Source organism: Homo sapiens, chromosome 4 (genome assembly GCF_000001405.40).
Source record: "Homo sapiens chromosome 4, GRCh38.p14 Primary Assembly".
Classification (NCBI taxonomy): Eukaryota; Metazoa; Chordata; class Mammalia; order Primates; family Hominidae; genus Homo; species Homo sapiens.
Genome location: NC_000004.12, coordinates 139,978,575 through 139,998,163, shown reverse-complemented (window position 1 = coordinate 139,998,163; position 19,589 = coordinate 139,978,575). Strand labels below are relative to the sequence as shown.

General features: G+C 39.7%; 1 protein-coding gene across 3 annotated transcripts in view, besides 1 other annotated feature; it reads left to right on the top strand.

Moving 5' to 3' along the window:
• MAML3 (mastermind like transcriptional coactivator 3) overlaps nucleotides 1-19,589 on the top strand; it is a 437,432-nt gene that overhangs the window by 156,021 nt on the left and 261,822 nt on the right. The gene's annotated exons all lie outside the window — the stretch shown is intronic.
• Nucleotides 19,010-19,059: an enhancer, noted in NCBI's record as "active region_21932". NCBI's record gives its function as "activates an Ori minimal core promoter by ATAC-STARR-seq in GM12878 lymphoblastoid cells {active_cell/tissue: GM12878}" and the evidence as "EXISTENCE:reporter gene assay evidence [ECO:0000049][PMID:35858748]".

Genomic DNA, 19,589 nt, shown 5'->3' with positions numbered 1-19,589 from the left:
GACTTGTGAAACAATTTCAAGCATGCTAGCATACATATAATGGGAATCCTAGAATGAGAAGACAGAGAAAGGAGCAGGAAAATATTTGAAGAAATATAGTCAAACACTCCCCAAATTCCTTAATATACACACCCAACAAATAGAACTAACTCTGTGTAGGATTAATATCTAGATACATCATAGTCGGATTGTTCAAAGAGAAGACATTGACAGCACCAAGAGAAAAATGGCTTACCACATATAGGGAGCATCAGTCTGATGAATGGCTGGCTTCTCATTTTTAAAAAAAAGAATGACAGAATACTAAAAGAAAAAGATATCAGCTAAGAGTTCTGTACCTTCTGTACCTAACCAAACTATCCTGCCAAAACTGAAGGAAAAATTAAGACATCCCGAATTTAAAAAAAAAACAAAAACAGAAAAATGGCTGTTAACATGCCTTTCTTACAATAAATACTAAAGGAAATCCTTAAAGCTAAAAAGATGACTCCAGATAACTGGAATCCATAGGAAGAAATAGCACTGAAAATGGCAAATATGTGGGTTCATATAAGTGACTATATAATTATATTTATCTTATTTTTATACCTTCTTTAAAAGACATGAAATGATATAAAGTAATAATTTTAACACTCTACTATTAAGTCTATAGCAAATGTAGATGTATATGACATATAATATATATCACAGTAACAGCACAAAGAGGGTGGGAGGGAATGGAGCTCTATTGGAGCAAATTTTCTATATTTTACTGAAATTAAGTTCGTGTTAATCTGCAATAGATTGTGATAAGTTAAGGTGCATATTGTAACTTTCAGAGTAACCATGAAGAAAATAACTCAAAAATTAGTAAAATGGAATTAAAGGAATTAAACTGGTAGTCAGAAAATATGTATTTAACACAAAAGAAAGCAGTAAAGGAGGAACAACTACAAAAAAAAGTGACATAGAAAAATACCAAAATGGCCTTTTAAAATCCCAACTGTATCAATTATGTATATATATAATGTGTGTGTATATATATATACACATATATATATAAATATTTTTTTGAGACAGAGTCTCAAAAAAATTTATTTTATTTTATTTATTATTATTATTATTTCTTGAGACGGAGTCTTGCTCTGTCACCAGACTGGAGTGCAGTGGCGCGATCTTGGCTCTTTGCAACCTCTGACTTCCTGGTTCAAGCGATTCTCCTGCCTCAGCCTCCCAAGTAGCTGAGATTACAGGCACGTACCACCACACTGGCTAATTTTTGTATTTTAGTAGAGATGGGGTTTCACCATATTGGCCAGGATGGTCTCGATTTTGTGACCTCGTGATCCGCCCTCCTCGGCCTCCCAAAGTGCTGGGATTACAGGCGTGAGCCACCGTGCCTGGCCCAATAATATATTTAATGTGAATGGTCTAACCACTCAAATCAAAAGGCAGACATTGTCAGACTGGATTAAAACACACACACACACACACACACGATACAACTATATACTGTCCATAGAAACGTTACTTTTGACTCAAAACATATTAGTATAAAAGTAAAAAAGTAAAAAATCATTTGCTATGCAAATACTAATCATTATCATCAACAAAAATATATTTTAAGAACTATTACTAGAGACAGGGATATTTCATAATTATTGATATTTCATAATAATTAAAGGATCAATGAATCAAGAATATACACCAACTATGTATTTATTAATATATTAAACTAAGTACAGAGCCTCAAACATGAAACAGAAACACACAGAACTGAAGGAAGAAATAGACAATAATTCAACAACACTAGTCAAAGATTTCAATACCCCACTCTCACTATTTGATAGGATAACTAGAAAGCAGGGCTTTCTCTAATCACCAATGCTATAGAACACTTGAACAACACTGTTAACCAGCTTAACCTAACTGACATACATAGAACAATCCATTTAACAATTGCAGAATATACATTCTTTTCAAATGCACAGGGAATAGTCTTCAGAATATACTGTATGCTAGGCCATAAAACAAGTGTCAATGAATTTAAAAGAAATCATATGAAATATGTTCTCCAACCACAATGTAATTAAATAATAAATCAATAATAGAAATATTTGGAATTGGACAACACTCCTGAATAACCCATGAGTAAAAGAAAAAGTTAGATAATATTTTGAACTTAATGAAAATGAAAACACAACATATTAAAAATTATGGGATACAGCTAAAACAGTGCTTAGATGGAAATTTATAGCTTTTATTGCCTATTTAAAGAAAGAAAAATGGTATCAAGTAAATAACTTAAGCTTCCACTATATGCAACTAGAAAAAAGCAAATGAAACTCAAAGCAAGCAGAAGGAAACAATAAAGATTAGAGCAGAAATCAATAAAATAGAAAAGAAAAAAAATAGAGAAAATCAGTGAAACCAAAAGTTGTAGCTAGACTGACCAAAACAAAACAAAGCAAAAGACACAATTTAGCCAATCACGAATGAAAAATGAGCCATACTACTGACCCAACAGAATTTAAAATAATTATATGGTAGTATTGTGAGCAACCTCACACCAACAAATCAAATAAATTAAATCACAGACAAATTCCTAAAAGATACACATCACCAAAACTGACTCAGGAAGAAATAGAAAGGATAGAACTATAATAAGTAAGGAAATCAAATTAGTATTCAAAAATCTTCCCACACCGAAAAGCACAGGCCCAGATGGCTTCACTTGTGGATTGCATCATATATATATAAATCCTTCATTAAGCCATTCTGAAAATAGAGAAGGGAACACTTCTGAACTTAGGATACTAATGCCAGACAATGATATTACAAGAATGTCCTCATGAGCATAGATGCACAAATCCTTAACAAAATATTAGCAAATTGAATCCTGAAATATAAAAAAGATAATGCACCATGATCAGGTGGGATTTATCCCATTAATGTAAAGTTGGTTAACATCTGCAAATTAATCAATGTAACATAATGTATTAATAGACTAATGGGCAAAAACCATGTTATCATTTCATTAGGCAAAGAAAAATCATTTGACAAAATCATTTGACAAAACCCAACACCCATCCATGATAAAAACTTCAACAAATAGGAATAGCAGAAAATTTCCTCATCCCGATAAAGGACATCTATAAGAAACCCCCCAGTTAACATCATATATAATGATGAAAGATGATATGGTTTCCCACTAAGGCAGGGAAAAAGTAAAGGGTGTTTATTCTTGCCACTTACATTTAACATTATACTAGAAGTTCTAGACAATGCAATAAGGCAAAAATAAAGGAATCAAAAATGGAAAGTTTATTCACAGGTGACTTGATCCTGTATGTATAAAATTTTAAGGAATACACATACACACACACACACACACACACCCCCCACCAGCACCACCACCACCACCAATTAAAACTAATAAGTGAGTTAAACAAAATTGCAAGATACAAGATTAATATACAAAAACGTTCCATTTCTATTAATTAATTAATTCATTCATTTAATTTAGAGACTGGGTGTCTCTCTGTTGCCCAGGCTGGAGTGCAGTGGCACAATCATAGCTCACAGTAACCTCAGACTCCTGAGCTCAAGTGATCCTCCCACCTCAGCCTTCCAAGTACCTAGAACTTCAGGCATGCACCACCTTACTCCACCAATTTTTCTTCTTAGAGATGGAGTCTTGCTATGTTGCCCAGCCTGGTCTCAACCTCCTGGCCTCAAGCAATCCTCCTGCTTCAGCCTCTCAAAGTGCTGTGGTTACAGACGTGAGCCACTGCACCTGGCTGCATTTCTATTATAAAGAACAAACAATCTGAAAGTTAAATTAAGAACCCAATTCCATTCCCAATAATATTTAAAAAGAAAAGACTTAAGACTAAGTTAGCAATAGAAGTGTAAGACTTATACACTGAAAACTGTAAAATATGACTGAGAGAAATAAAAGATCTTAGTAAATGGAGAGACATTCCAGTTCATGGATTGGAATGAAACAGAATTTTGGGAGTCCAGAAATAAATGCTTATATTATGGTCAGTTGGTTTTCAGCAAAGATGCCAAGACAATACAATGGAGAAAACTATTGTCTTTCATCAGGAACAATTGGATATCCACATTACAAAAAAAGTAGACCCCCATGTCACATGAAACACAAAAATTAATTCAAAATGTATATTTGGCCTCAGTGTAAAAGTTAAAACTATGAAACATCTAAAATCATAGAAGAAAATCTTTGTTACCTGGGTTTTGGCAAAGAATTCTTAGATACAACACCAAAAGTGTAATCTGTACAAGAAAAATCGGTAAGTTGGACTTTATAAAAATTAAAAACTTTTTTTTTTTGAGACAGAGTTTTGCTCTTGTTGCCCAGGCTGGAGTGCAGTGGCACGATCTCAGCTCACTGCAACCTCCGCCTCCCAGGTTCAAGCAATTCTCCTTCCTCAGCCTCCTGAGTAGCTGGGATTACAGGTGCCCGCCACCACACCCAGTTAATTTTTTTGTATTTTTAGTAGAGACGAGGTTTCATCATGTTGGCCAGGCTGGTCTCGAACTCCCAACCTCAGGCAATCCACCCTCCTCGGCCTCCCAAAGTGCAGGGATTACAGGAGTGAGCCACTGCGCCAGGCCAAAATTAAGAACTTTTGAGTATCAGAAGAGGAGATTAAGAAAAGGAAAAGATAAGAAAAAGAAAAGAAAAGAAAAGAACCATACTGGGAGAAAAATGTTTGCAAATTATATATCTGATAAAGGACTTTTATCCAGAATGTATCTATGTAATATATGTGTGTATATATGTATGTCTATTTTTTTTTTTTTTTTGAGATGGAGTCTCACTCTGTCACCCAGACTGGAGTACAGTGGTGCCATCTCAGCTCACTGCAACCTCCACCTCTTGGGTTCAAGCGATTCTCCTGCCTCAGCCTCCCGAGCAGCTGAGATTACAGGGGTGTGCCACCATGCCTGGTTAATTTTTGTATTTTTACTAGAGATGGGGTTTCATCCTGTTGGCCAGGCTGATCTCCAACTCCTGACTTCAAGAGATCTGCCCGCCTCAGCCTCCCAAAGTGCTGGGATTACAGGCATAAGCCACTGTGCCTGGCCCTGTATGTCTATATTTTAAACACTCTTGCAGCCAAATATTAGAATATAAACAATTCAATTAGAAATGAGCAAAAGATTTAAATAGACATTTCACCAAAACAGATAAACATGAAGTATGTGCTCAATATTACTAGTTACGGGAATGTGAATTAAAATCCAAGGAGACACAATTTCACACCACTGGAATGGCTGTATTTAAAAAGACACAAAATAGGCTCGGTGCGGTGGCTCACGCCTGTAATCCTAGCAGGTTGGGAGGCCGAGGTGGGGAGATCACAAGGTCAAGAGATCAAGACCATCCTGGCCAACATGGTGAAACCCCGTCTCTACTAAAAATACAAAAAATTAGCTGGGCATGGTGGTGCATGCCTGTAGTCCTAGCTACTCAGGAGGCTGAGGCAGAAGGATCACTTGAACCCGAGAGGCTGAGGCAGAAGGATCACTTGAACCCAGGAGGCAGAGGTTGCAGTGAGCTGAGATCGCACCACTGCACTCCGGCAACAGAGTGAGACTCCATCTCAAAAAAACAAAAACAAAACAAAAAAAGACACACAATAACAAGTATTGGTAAAAGTGTGGAATCTGAAATTCTCATATATTACTGTTGGGAGTGTAAAATGGCACAGCCGTTTTGGGAAAAAAAAGTGACAACGTCTTTAAACTCTAAGGAAAACTTAACCGTGTGGATCAGCCATGCTACTCTAAGGCCATGACACTCTAAGGAATCTATCCAGGAGAAATGAAAATATAGCCACACAGAAACATACACAAATGTTCATAACAGAATCATTCTTAGCTAAAAACTGGAAACAAGCCAAGTTGTCCATCAACTAGTAAATAAAATATGATACAGCCATATGATGGAGTACTTCACAGCAGTTATAAGGAACTCAATGCCTGCTACAAGATGGATACCCCCCAAAATTATGCTAGTTAAAAGAATCCAGATACAAAAAACTACATTTATATGATTCCAATTGTGTGAAATGTCTAGAAAAGGCCGATTTGTGGAGACACAAAGTTGATCTGGGGCTGCTTTGTATTGGTTGTGGGAGTGGAAATTGACCCTAACAGGCATGATGAGACATTTTTGAAGTGATGGAAGTGTCCTCAAACTGGATTGTGGTGATGATTGCAAAGCTCTCAAATGTATTGAATTGTACACTTGAAATTTTTTTTTTAATTATATACTTAAAATAGATGGTTTGTTGTTGTTGTTTTTCTGAGACAGGATCTTGCTCTGTCACCCAGGCTGAAGTACGGTGGCATGATCATGGCTCACTCCAGCCTTGACCTCCTGGGCTCAATGATCCCCCTGCTTCAGCCTCCCAAAGCTCTGAGATTATAGGTGTGAGCCACTGCATCTGACCTGGTGGACTTTATATGTAAATTTTACCTCAGTAAAACAATTTTTTTCAAAAGAAAATCTATTGGCACAGAAGTAACTTTTTAACCTTCAATAATAATATTTTCAAGAACAAGATTTATGTTGGAAATATGTATTAAATGATATTAGTATTACCATTTAAAGTTAGTAAATACTATTCTTATTCAACATCTTTTCAGCACATGTTGATTCATGATTATTAGAAATAGTTTGGTGACCTAGGTTTTCTTGTAGGGTTTTTATGGTTTTAGGTCTAATGTTTAAGTCTTTAATCCATCTTGAATTAATTTTTGTATAAGGTGTAAGGAAGGGATCCAGTTTCAGCTTTCTACATATGGCTAGCCTGTTTTCCCAGCACCGTTTATTAAATAGGGAATCCTTTCCCCATTGCTTGTTTTTCTCAGGTTTGTCAAAGATCAGATAGTTGTAGATACGCGACTTTATTTCTGAGGGCTCTGTTCTGTTCCACTGATCTATATCTCTGTTTTGGTACCAGTACCATGCTGTTTTGGTTACTGTAGCCTTGTAGTATAGTTTGAAGTCAGGTAGCGTGATACCTCCAGCTTTGTTCTTTTGGCTTAGGATTGACTTGGAGATGCGGGCTCTCTTTTGGTTCTATATGAACTTTAAAGTAGTTTTTTCCAATTCTGTGAAGAAAGTCATTGGTAGCTTGATGGGGATGGCATTGAATCTGTAAATTACCTTGGGCAGTATGACCATTTTCGTGTTATTGATTCCTCCTACCCATGAGCATGGAATGTTCTTCCATTTCTTCGTATCCTCTTTTATTTCATTGAACAGTGGTATGTAGTTCTCCTTGAAGAGGTCCTTCACGTCCCTTGTAAGTTGGATTCCTAGGTATTTTATTCTCTTTGAAGCAATTGTGACTGGGAGTTCACTCATAATTTGGCTCTCTGTTTGTCTGTTATTGGTGTATAAGAATGCTTGTGATTTTTGTACATTGATTTTGTATCCTGAGACTTTGCTGAAGTTGCTTATCAGCTTAAGGAGATTTTGGGCTGAGACGATGGGGTTTTCTAGATATACAATCATGTCATCTGCAAACAGAGACAATTTGACTTCCTCTTTTCCTAATTGAATACCTTTTATTTCCTTCTCCTGCCTAATTGCCCTGGCCAGAACTTCCAACACTATGTTGAATAGGAGTGGTGAGAGAGGGCATCCCTGTCTTGTGCCAGTTTTCAAAGGGAATGCTTCCAGTTTTTGCCCATTCAGTATGATATTGGCTGTGGGTTTGTCATAGATAGCTCTTATTATTTTGAGATACGTCCCATCAATACCTAATTTATTGAGAGTTTTTAGCATGAAGAGTTGTTGAATTTTGTCAAAGGCCTTTTCTGCATCTATTGAGATAATCATGTGGTTTTTGTCTTTGGTTCTGTTTATATGCTGAATTACATTTATTGATTTGCGTATATTGAACCAGCCTTGCATCCCAGGAATGAAGCCCACTTCATTTTCTTACATGTTATTTTAAGCCTCTCAAGTAAATGTAAAGATTTCTCTATAGTGAGGTTGTCTGTATGACTCTATAGAGGTTGTAGTCAGCAATACTTCAGACTCTGAAAAATGTGAAAAGTGAAAAAAATCAAGATTACTTTGTCAAAACAAAACAATTAATTTCTTCTGATTCCATCCTATTTCTTTTCTTACAGTCCTGATTTTTTTCTTTTACCTGACAATATACTTTAAAGATACTTAATATTTAAAATATTTAAATTATTCTGGAAGTGATGGAAGTGAATCTCTCTCTCTCTCTTTCTCTCTCTCTCTCTCTCTGTGTGTGTGTGTGTGTGTGTGTGTGTGTGTGTTTGTTTGTGTGTGGTGGGGTGCAGGGGTCAGCAGTGGTACCAAGGGCAGAGACTGGATGAATAAAATTGTTAAATTACTGGCTACGGCATGAATATATTCACGTGTTCCCTGCTGCTATCCAATCCTTTAAAGGCCTTGGCTTTCAGTGAAGAAGGGTAGCCTGACAAAAACACCTGGGTAGGAAGACAAACAGGAGGAGGCTTTTCACCAATGGCTTGGTGTTGCATGTGGGATAGGAAGCAGGCAGCATTTCTGGGCTTCACTGTGATTCCTGTGGGCTCCATGACTCATGGACCGTGAGTCATAGCATCCCACACTGAAGATGGCTGAGCTGAAAGGTTAGACACATTCAGTGGCAAGTTCAACAAAAACTTTGTCCAGATTTGCATGATACGGGTAATAGGGAGGAAGATCAGGCAGAAGGCAGCAGAAGCCGTCGGGCGTGTTTCATCCTTAGATGCTGCCGCAGGGGAGGCCGATGGTTCTGATTTTCCTGGCCGCCTCTCTGGGCAAGTGCTCCAGAGACCTCATTATTTCATTAATTCTTACAGTGCCCTTGTAGCATAAGTAAGGTGGCACCTATTATTAGCAACACTTTTGTTAATGGGACATGAATGAGTCCATTCAGAGTGGTATTTTATTGGCGGACAATGCCTTTGGTAGTTCTGGAAGCTTTGTATCCTTGGCCAAGATTCCTGCTTCTGTCCCGTCCAGAGCCCTGTCTCTGGAGTGTGCTCTCGATGGACAGAGTTTATAAATCGTCGAGAAGGGGCAGTTCTGCCAACTGAGGCGACTTGCAATTTAGTAAGTCTGTAGCCAGCAGCTGCCTCTGCGAGGAATCAAGAGAAGAAGCAGGTTCAACAGTGAGCAGTCACTTCCATCAATGATGCTGAGCAGGGGTAGAGCAGGGTGATTCCTTCAGGAATGTGTGGTATTTGAAAGTGATTGCCCCCTGTTTAACAGGGGTAAGTAAGATAAGGACACGTCCTTCTCACTTCCTCAGCCAGTGATCTTGCTTGTTAATTGGGAGTTGCTTGTTAGTCCAGAGTGTTTAACCTCAATTTTATTGAGATGAAGTTTACATACAACAAATGCACCAATTTTAAGTACACAGTTTGAGTTCTGACAAATGCATACACCCTTATAACCACCACCCCAGTCAAGATGCAAATATTTCTACTCTCTTAAATGCCCTCTTTTGCCCCTTCCTGTCCCTGTTGTATATAAGTTTACGATGGGACAACTAAAGAACTGAAGTGATCTGTAAATGGCAGTTGGATGGCACCGTTTAATGAACTTAGACTTTTCTGTGCTCTCCAGCTCATGAAACGGGAATTTTTGCTTGTCTGGAAAAACTGTTAAAACCCAGCAAAAAATACACCTCAAGGATTAAGTGTGGGACAACTCTTCTAAGGCGTTTCCCCCATTTCAATTAGTTCCCATTATTGTTAAGCCTAAAAGTCCTTCAAAGTAGTAATGGTGGGACAGTTCACTGTTTCTTTTTTTTTTTTTTTTTTTTTTTTGAGACGGAGTCTCACTCTGTCGCCCAGGCTGGAGTGCAGTGGCGCGATCCTGGCTCACTGCAGCCCCTGCCTCCCAGGATTCAGTGTTTCTTCTGCCTCAGCCTCCCGAGTAGCTGGGATTACAGTCACACACCACCAGGCCCGGCTAATTTTTGTATTTTTAGTAGAGATGGGGTTTCGCCATGTTGGCCAGGCTGGTCTTGAACTCCTGACCTCAGGTGATCCGCCCGCCTCGGCCTACTAAAGTGCTAGGATTATACTGTTTCTTGTTTCTTCTTTCTTCCTTTTTTTTTTTTTTTTTTTTTTGAGACGGAGTTTTGCTGTGTTGCCAGGCTGGAGTGCAGTGGCATGATCTCAGCTCACTGCAGCCTCCACCTCCTGAGTTCAAGCGATTCTCCTGCCTCAGCCTCCCAAGTAGCTGGGATTACAGGTGCCCGCCACCATGCCTGGCTAATTTTTTTGTATTTTTAGTACAGACAAGGTTTCATCATGTTGGCTAGGCTGGTCTCGAACTCCTGACCTCAGGTGATCCACCTGCCTCGGCCTTCCAAAGTGCTGGGATTACAGGTGTGAGCCACGGGGCCCAGCCACAGTCCACTGTTTCATGAAAGACTTGTGCTGAACAAAGTGGCCAGGCGGGAAGGTGCACCAGACTCCACGTACTGACAGCTCTGTGATTCATGCCGAGAACTCCCACACAGTATCATCTTCTAAATGGAGATGACCGCAGGGAGAACAAAGATGCCACACCCCAAGAAGAGAAGGAACAGGTTTATATTTTGACATGCTAGAAACACAGAGAGGCTGATTTTTCTTTTTCAACTTCTCATGGACACCATAAAGAACGGCATAAGATAGAGGCATTCTGAACATTCAGTGATGACGCACGGCGTTCCCACCACAGAACAAAAAGATGAGAAGTGACATCATAACAACCCAATGCTATGGTGACCAGCAGTATTCAGAAACAATCGACATCTGTTTTTCTGCCTTACCATGGCCTCTGCCCAGTCATTTTCTTTGAGGCTGTTTGCTTTCAAAAAACTGCTGACCAGGAGACGTCGTATGATGCCAAAATATTTATAAACTGTCCTCCCTCTGGGAGTGAGGGAGAGGGATACTATTGCTTGTTTTAAAATAAACCTTAATGTAGGGCAGGTGAGTGGCTAATTTATCCATTTATCTTTTTAACACGAAGAAAAAGCAGCCTGCTTTTCTGCCTGGTCTACAGTGGGAACAGTGGCTAGCTCACAGATCGTTTCTCACACAGCCCAAACCTTTTCTAAGTGGCAGGTCGGCAGCCCTCAGGTTGATAGTGCAGAAGTGCTAAGTGCATTTGATTGGTATCATTACTGGTCTCTAGTAATTGATTACTGTCCATGGTGAAATATTCAGGGCAAGCACACAGCCAATAGCAATCACTTAATCCATCATGGCTGTTTGTTCCTCATCTCCTGAGACCTATCAGCCACATGCTATCCAACCCCACCAGGCAAATTGCCGATGGCTGCTTTGTGTGTACAATTTACTGTGTATTTACTGTGTTTCCTGCGTTAACCAGAGCCACTGGCTTTAGTGAACAGGGGAAGGCAAGGGAGGCTCTTGCTTTCCAATGTCAAGTTTGCTCTCCGGTTCACCTCTTTGGCCTCTATTTTTGTAGAGATTCATGATTCATTGGCATTGGTTTTCATTGCTTAAAAAAAAAAAAAGTAAGTCGAACAGTGTAGTGGTTATATTAGGAATATTAATTGTAAGACTTGAGATAGGTTGATTGGAATAAGATCCTGGAGAGTTGTTTGTAATGCTGATTTTTTAGAAACAAGAAGTGGGAGAATAATGAATAACAACCAGAACTAATCAGTTTTGTGTGTGTTTAATCCAGTGATAATGACTAAAAGTAGTTCTGTAGTTCTGTTAAATAAAAAGAAGCAGAAATTCAGTGGCTACACCATTTTCTCGGCTTTCTTCCAAAATGCTTTATCCTTGGATCTTGGCAAATATGCCTGTCCCTGATGTTTGCTAAGGAACTGTGATACTCAGCCCAAGCAAGAACATAATAGGAGGAGGAGGAGGACAGCTGAAAGAAGAAGAATAAACAAATGACTACTACGTGTGACAGCACTCTGATGACAAGGGATGACCCTGTCCACAACGAAACTCGGAAAAAACCCGTTTGTATTTATCAGTCCATAGGAAACAATGAGAGCCATGGGAGGCAGAAAGCACATGCTGGTCTGCTCTTCTGCTTATCCTGACCCTGCTTTCCATAGAGCTGGAAGAAACATAATGAGGGCTAGATATCTGCAAAAGAGGATGCTCCTAGTGAACTTGGGAAGCCAGCAGGAGTGAAGTTGAGAAGAGAATGACGAGGCATGGCCTCAGAGACAGCAAAGAGATCTGGTCTGTTTCCATAGCCACTCTTGAAGAGATTGCATTCCAAAATTTATTTAATGAAATTGCTATTAGGGTCTCATTGGAGATCTTTGTTTCCTCTTCTGGTGTGGTTTGCTTAAACTCTCCCTGGTGTCTGTAGCACATGGTAGAATTCTAGCTAATTCCCCACAGGCTAGGGCAAATATGGCCATGTGTGTGGTGCCTCTGAAGGAGCCTTTCCATGGGCACCTCCCTTCACAGGGCAATCCCTAAACAGCACAGAATCTTAATCTTTGTTAAGATTAATCCCTAAATAAGGAATCTATGCATTCCTTATTTGGGGCTACTTAGCTAAATGACATAAACAGCTGGTTTAAGTGATTCACAAGTTAGTTGGGCAAGTTTCACTGTTGCTTACAATCTATTTTAGCTCAAGGAAATAAATTTGCACACCTAAAGGCACTGACCTTTTGTTGTATACAGTGAGACTTCAGTTGTTGCATAGATTATTGTAATAATCCTTCTGCTTATTGGCCAACATGTGATGTACTTTATGATTTGAAGCTCTTTAAGATTTGAGCATTCCTCCTCCAGAACTCTGCTCCATGGTCATGATCAGGTTTTCCTTCTGTGTCTGGGGTTATGTTCCTACGCTCACTCTTGAGTCATTGGCATTGAAAACTAAAATAGTTGCCTGTAAGAAAGATCAACTTTATTACTTCTAGACTTGGCTTGTGCTGTGCTAATACCTGTCACCTTTTAGGAAAGTTTTAAAACTCTGTCAGCTTGGCCTGTTTTTAAAACTTTCAGAGATAGTCTTTGAGGATGTCTTACTATGCTAAAGAAAAGCTAACTTTTGTGTATAGGAAAATATAATCTAGTGGTGTTTCCATGTCATAATGAATGTCCTCTAATCAAAAACTGCCAGAATCTATATTTGCCATATTAAATTGCAGAAAGCTGCAACAGCTGTCTTGTTCTGTGTTTGCTGTTCCATTTATACCATCTGTGATGGTTAGTCTTATGTGTCAACTTGATGGAGCTATACTGCTCAGTTACTTATCAAACACTAACCTAGCTGTTGCTGTGAAGGTATTTTGTAATGTGGTTAACATCACTAGCCAGTTCACTTGAAATAAAGGAGATTACCCAGGGATATCTGGGTGGGTCTGATCCAATCAGCTGAAGGCCTCAAGAGCAAAAACTAAAGAAAGTCTGTCTCAAGACTGAAGCATAAAATCCTGCCTGAGTTTTCAGCATGCTGGCCTGCCCTACAAATTTCAGACTTGCCAGCCCCCACAGTCGCATGAGCCAATTCCTTAAAATAAATCTCATGTTGGTTCTGTTTTTTTAGAGAACTCTGATACACTATCTAAATAGTATATTTGAAAGAGTAGGAGCAAAGTATTTAACCTTGTCTTGTGATCCTCTTTTGTGTAGGCTATGCTATAATAAGTGGATGCCTAATCATGTCTGAAAATTAGGTATGTTGACTTTTTCATACAAAGCAAGGAACACAGAAATTGGTATCCATGCTTGTTAAAATATGTATGAATCCTCTGGCTACTCCTCCCCATTTACAGTTAATTTTAGCACCTTGGTTACTATCCTTTTCTTTCCATCTCAACCCCTGTCAATATATTTGATGATATCACCATCCATCTATTTTCATGGCTTTGTGGCTTCTTGATCTCCGCATTTGCAATATATTCTCCTCCACCCCATGCGAACCATCTATTCTCAACGCCACACTGTTGACCTGTCATCAGCAATAACTGATCTTACCTTCAAGTAGCCCACTACTCCAGTGCCACCTCCTGTTCTGGCCCCCACTTCCTGACTTTATCAAAACTCATCCCATCTGTGGACCCCACCGTGTTTTCCTGATACATTACTTCCCTCTTAAACCAACTCAGATCTCAGGGTCCATTATTATAATTGCATCTGTATGTCTACCCATTACATTCTCTCCCATCTTATCCTCCATTAAACTTGACTGGCAAAGTCTGCCCTGGTTAAATCCATTTACCCAACTACTGTGTGCCTGCATTGCAGCAGCTGAACATCACTGGAGTAAAACACATGGGGGTGCTGACCATTCCCTCTTGAAACTCTTGACCATGGATTATCAAGTGATACTCCACTGCCCAGCACACTTCTCTGTCTTCCCTAGTGTGTTTGCTTTTCACTTTCCAAATGATATTTTACATCTTCACCCTCCTCTAATACTGTTTTCCATGTTACCAAATCTAGCACAGATCGAGCACCCCAAATCCAAAAATCTGAAATCTGAAATGCTCCACTATCTGAAACTTTTTGAGTGTTGACATGAAGCTCAAAGGAAATGCTTGTTAGAACATTTTGGGTTTCGGATATTTTTTGGATTTCAGATGCTCAACCAGCAAAATACAAGGTAAATATTCCAAAATCCAAAAAATCAAAATTCAAAGCCTTTCTGGTCCCAAGCCTTTTGGATAAGAGATAATCAACTTGAAGTCACTCTTCTGTATTTATTTACCCCTCAGCAACATTTAACCTGTTGACTATTACCTCTCTATTATAACATAGGTATTCTAGCTGGTCTGAAAAGGCTATATATTGTATGATTCTATTTTTATGACATTCTATAAAAAGCAAAACTTTGGAGATGGTAAACAGAGCAGTGGTTGCCAGGGATTTGGGAGGAAAGGAGGATTGAATAGGCGAAGCACAGGGATGTTTTAGGGTGGTGGATATACTCTGTATAACGCCCTAAAGGTGAATATGTGACACTACATTTGTCAAAATCAATGGAGTTTTACAGCACAAAGAATGTACCTTAATGTGTGGAAATTTAAACAAAATATTTAGGAGGTCAGAGGATCCCAAGAAGGAATGCAGACTGTGACAAAAGAATCTAACTATCACGAATAGATGAAATTACCTCACTGAAGGAATTGGGCGATAAAGGTGCCGACCTAAGTAACTTTGAAAATGCATAGAGACTGCAAAACTGAAGGCAAAAGCAGTCGTATTTAAGCATTGTACTCTGATTGATAGTTTTTTCCTAAGGGGGGTGCAGATAAACACTTCTGAAACAACATATGATATATTGGAACTGAATGATTAAATAAGTAGATGGTGGGAGGCAGGTTTCTCACTATTGAAGTGGAGGTTACAGTGAAGCTAGGAGAGTAGGCTAGAGTGGTCTATGTGGTGATGTATTGGAGTTGAAAACATCAGTATGAACTCTTGTTTAGCTTAATATAGATATAGATGTATGCATATACATCAATGTTATAGATACTTTTGTGTATAGGAAAAAAGTGTATGGTATAAAGTATCATATGGTATAAACTATCATATGCTAAAGTATCTATATGGTAAAAAGTATCATATGCTAACCTATGTGGTAGGTTAGCATTCATGTATATATTCCCTTGCTCTGTCAATTGAAAGGGCCTAGAAATGACACTACAGCAACAATGAACACATGTGGGACCCAGACCTTGGTTTCTAATACCATTCTCCAGTAAAAACAACCATAGCTTCTTGAAGGAAGTGGCTGATTGTAGGGCTGGGTGGGGGGAAATATAGGAGCCTGAAATATCTTGTAACAGCAAGAGTTAAGGAAGTATTCAAAAAAACTCCCATAATAATAGGGGTATGTCAAAAGGGCACGGGAGCCAACTGAACAAGTGCCTAAGGTCAAAGCTGGGACAATCTGAGCAAAATAAATAAAGTAGCATGGGATTATAACTGAAAGTATAAAGTAAACATCCATGAATCTATACTGGTATAAATAAATGATGGGAAAAATCAATGTGGAAGAAGACAAATCTATCACACAGAAGAATTTCAAATAATTTGTGTAGAATCTCCACCATCAAGGAAGTGGAGTATAATTTCCCACTCTTTGAATAGATCTGCACATAGTGACTTCCTTTTGAAAAGTACAGTCGAAAAAGGAGGCGGAAAAGAAGGAGTCACTTTACAATGAGGAAAATGGCAAATACTCCCTCAGCCAGATGATGAAGCTTCACATCAGTCGTGATAAATCATGTCGATATCATGCATTCTTGATATGACGTGATGAGAATGGCACTTTATCTCTGTGGTCTTCTTCCTGAAAATCTATAACACGGGTCTAGTCATGAGAAAAACATCAGACAAATCACAGCTGAGACATTCTACAAGCTTGTCAGTCTCCAAATAGCTGGCCCATCCTCTCCAAACTGGTTATCTATAACAAGGAAAGCCTGAGGAACTGTCCCTGCCAAGAGGAGCCTAATGAAACATAATGACTAAAGGTAATGTTGGTATCTTGGATGAGATCCTAAAACACAAAAGTGACATTAGGTAAAAATGAAGAAAATCTGAGTAAAGTATGAATTTTAGTTAATAATAATGTGTCAATATTTGTTCATTAGTTGTGACAAATGTACCATGCTAATATAAGACGTTAATAATAGGAAAAACTAGGTACAGGATATATGGGAACTTTCTGTATTATCTTTGCAAATTTTCTTTACATCTAAAACTATTTATCATGGGCTGAACTGTTCCCAACCCCTGCCCACAATGTTCATATGTTGAATTCTAAAGCCCTAGTACCTCAGAATAGAACCATACTTGCATATAAGGGCTTTAAAGAGGTGATTAAGTTAAAATGAGGCCATTGGGGTAGGGCGCTAAGCCAATATGTCTGGTGTCCTTAAAAGAAAAGAAACACCGGGGTGTCTGTGCACAGAGAGATGGCCATGTGAAGAGGCAGCAAGAAGGCAGCTGTCTGCAAGCCAAGGAGAGAGTTCTCAGAAGAACCCAACCTTGCCAGGACCTTGATCTTGGGCTTCCAGACTCCAGAACGCTGAGAAAATAAATGCCTGTTGTCTAAGCCGCCCAGTCTGTGGTATTTTGTTGTGGCAGCTCTAGGAAACTAATATACTATTTCTAAAATAAAAGATTGTTTTTAAAAACAACATTGGCATTCTTTCTGTTCCCAACCCAGAACTTTTGCCTGGAACTCTTCTTGTAATTCAGATTTTAGCTTAAAATCAACAGAGAGGAGTATTCTCTGGCTACACAATTCTCTACCGCAGTAGCTTATTTTACTTCTCTGAGTGAGGCTGACCACCAATGGTTTTATTATTGTTATTATTATTATTACTTGTTTATTCATGTATTGCCTGTCTTCCTGCAGCAGAATACGAGCTCCTTGAGAGGAAGAACCTTGGCTGTCATGCTCACTGCTGAATCCCTAACACCAAATGCCACCATCAGTGCTGACTACATAGCAGACACTCAGTGGATATTTGTTGAATGGACAATGAATACCCCGGGAGTCTGGTGACTCTTGATTTGGACAACTTAACTCGATCATTAGACTAAAAGCACCTTTATGAGTCTTCCTAAGTTAACCGGGATCTAGAGGGTGAGCAGACTACAATCAGGGTAGCCCAGGGCATTAGATTTTTAATATGTTTGGACTCCATGTAGAGAAGTAAATCAGCCTGGGTCTAAACCAGGAATGGAGGCTAGGGAGATGATGTCTTAGCCAAAACTCTCACAAAGCTTCAGAGACTGGGGGAAAAAATCAAGTCAAAATAAGGCCACAGTAATGGCCAAAGGAGGTGTGTATGCAGAGGGTGGGGGAAGGGAATTTTCTCAGGGATCAAGGTGGAGGGTGACAACTGATTCTTAGAGTGGACCCAGTCTTTATTGTCTGTGGGTATTGAGGTTGTAAAGCCAACAGGATCCTTCTTCCAGATGACATGAGGGATCCCAGAAGCCAGGCCTCAAGCCCTAAGATAAAGAGGCTTGTCTGAACTAGGGCCTCCAGACAGCTAGCTGGAGTCCGGGCTGGGCTTGGCCTCTGGAAGATGCCGAATGCATAAAGGGAGAGCCCAGATCCCAGAAGCTCTGTAGCAGGCCAGCCAAACAGATAGTAAGATAGTCCAGAGAGAAAATAGCTCAGTGCTCAGTCAAGCCCTGAGACTGTCCGTACTCACCTAGACCCTGGGTGGGACAATGGGATATTCCTACTTACTATTGGCAGTTGTTCCAGAGAACCACTGCCTTAGTCCATTTTGTGCTGCTGTAACAACATACCCAGGACTGGGTAATTTATCAAGAACAGAAATTTGTTTTCTCACAGTTCTAGAGGCTGGGAAGTCCGAGATCACGGCACCAGCAGGTTCAGATGTCTGGGGAGGGCTACTCTCTGTCTCCAAGATGGTACCTTGATGCCACATCTTCTAAAGGGGAGGAACACTGTGTCCTCACATGGCAGAAAGGTAGAAGATCAAGCTAACTGAACACTGTGGGAAGCCTCTTTTATAAGGGCCTTACTGCTATTCATGAGGGAGTAGCCTTCATGGCCTCTTAAAGGCCCTGTTACCTCTTGATACTGTCACATTGGCAACACCTGAAGTTTTGAGGGGACACATTCAAACCGTAGCAACCACTAACCCAACTGTTAGTGGCTGGGCATGGATAGAGCTAAAGCAGCAACTAGAGAACACATGTGGACAGTATAGAAGGAGCTCAGCAGACAGGGGCAAATGGAGCTGGGAGGCAGTGGTGTCTATGGAGGGGTGGTTGGACAAGCTCTGCCTCCAAGCAGAAAAATGTGAGAAGGCATGTTTAAATGAATGCCATGTAAAAGAGCTAAAGAGGGAGCTATGAGCCAGGTAAGTCTAGACTCATTTCTAGCATGTTGAAGAGAAAGGCAACTTAGACCAAAATGTTTAAAATTTTATTTACAAGTTCTGTGGTCTCAAATCATTCTAATCCTTAGTTCTCTCACCTTTACAATGGGAGTAAAACTAATACTTTCCTTGCAGGATTGATGAAAGGCTTGTAGATAATGCAGGTGTAACACCTAATACAGAGCCGGACACATACAAAATGCTTCATAAGTAGTGGCTGATATTATGATTTTACTAGTACCACATAAGCAGGCTTGTTCCTTTGTTCTGTCAGTTTCTCTAAGGTAACTAGTCATAGAGCTCTTTGAAAGTAGTCATAGAGCTCTTTGAAAGTAGTCATAGAGCTCTTTGAAAGTGAAAGGAGGATGTGTACTTGTTTCAGTGCCATCTGGAAATGGAGAAGTGGCAAATCCGTTTCCTGCTATATAGCCAGTTCTGTGGGGAGGCCAGGTGGGCAGGCTGACTGGCAAGGTCTCTGGGGGGGATGTCATCCATGGGAGGGCCAAAGAGAGACACCAAGACAGATTAGGGATGGGGGACAAAGAGACCCAAGTCTCTTTGATAACCTGCCAGGGCCCAGATTGGAGCCCCTGAAGGAAGAGAATGTTGTGAATGCCTAGCGCAGTTGTGTGCTCTCTCTCTCTCTCTTTTTTTTTGATGTGGTTGATGCTGGGAAGTCATGGGAGGCATTTG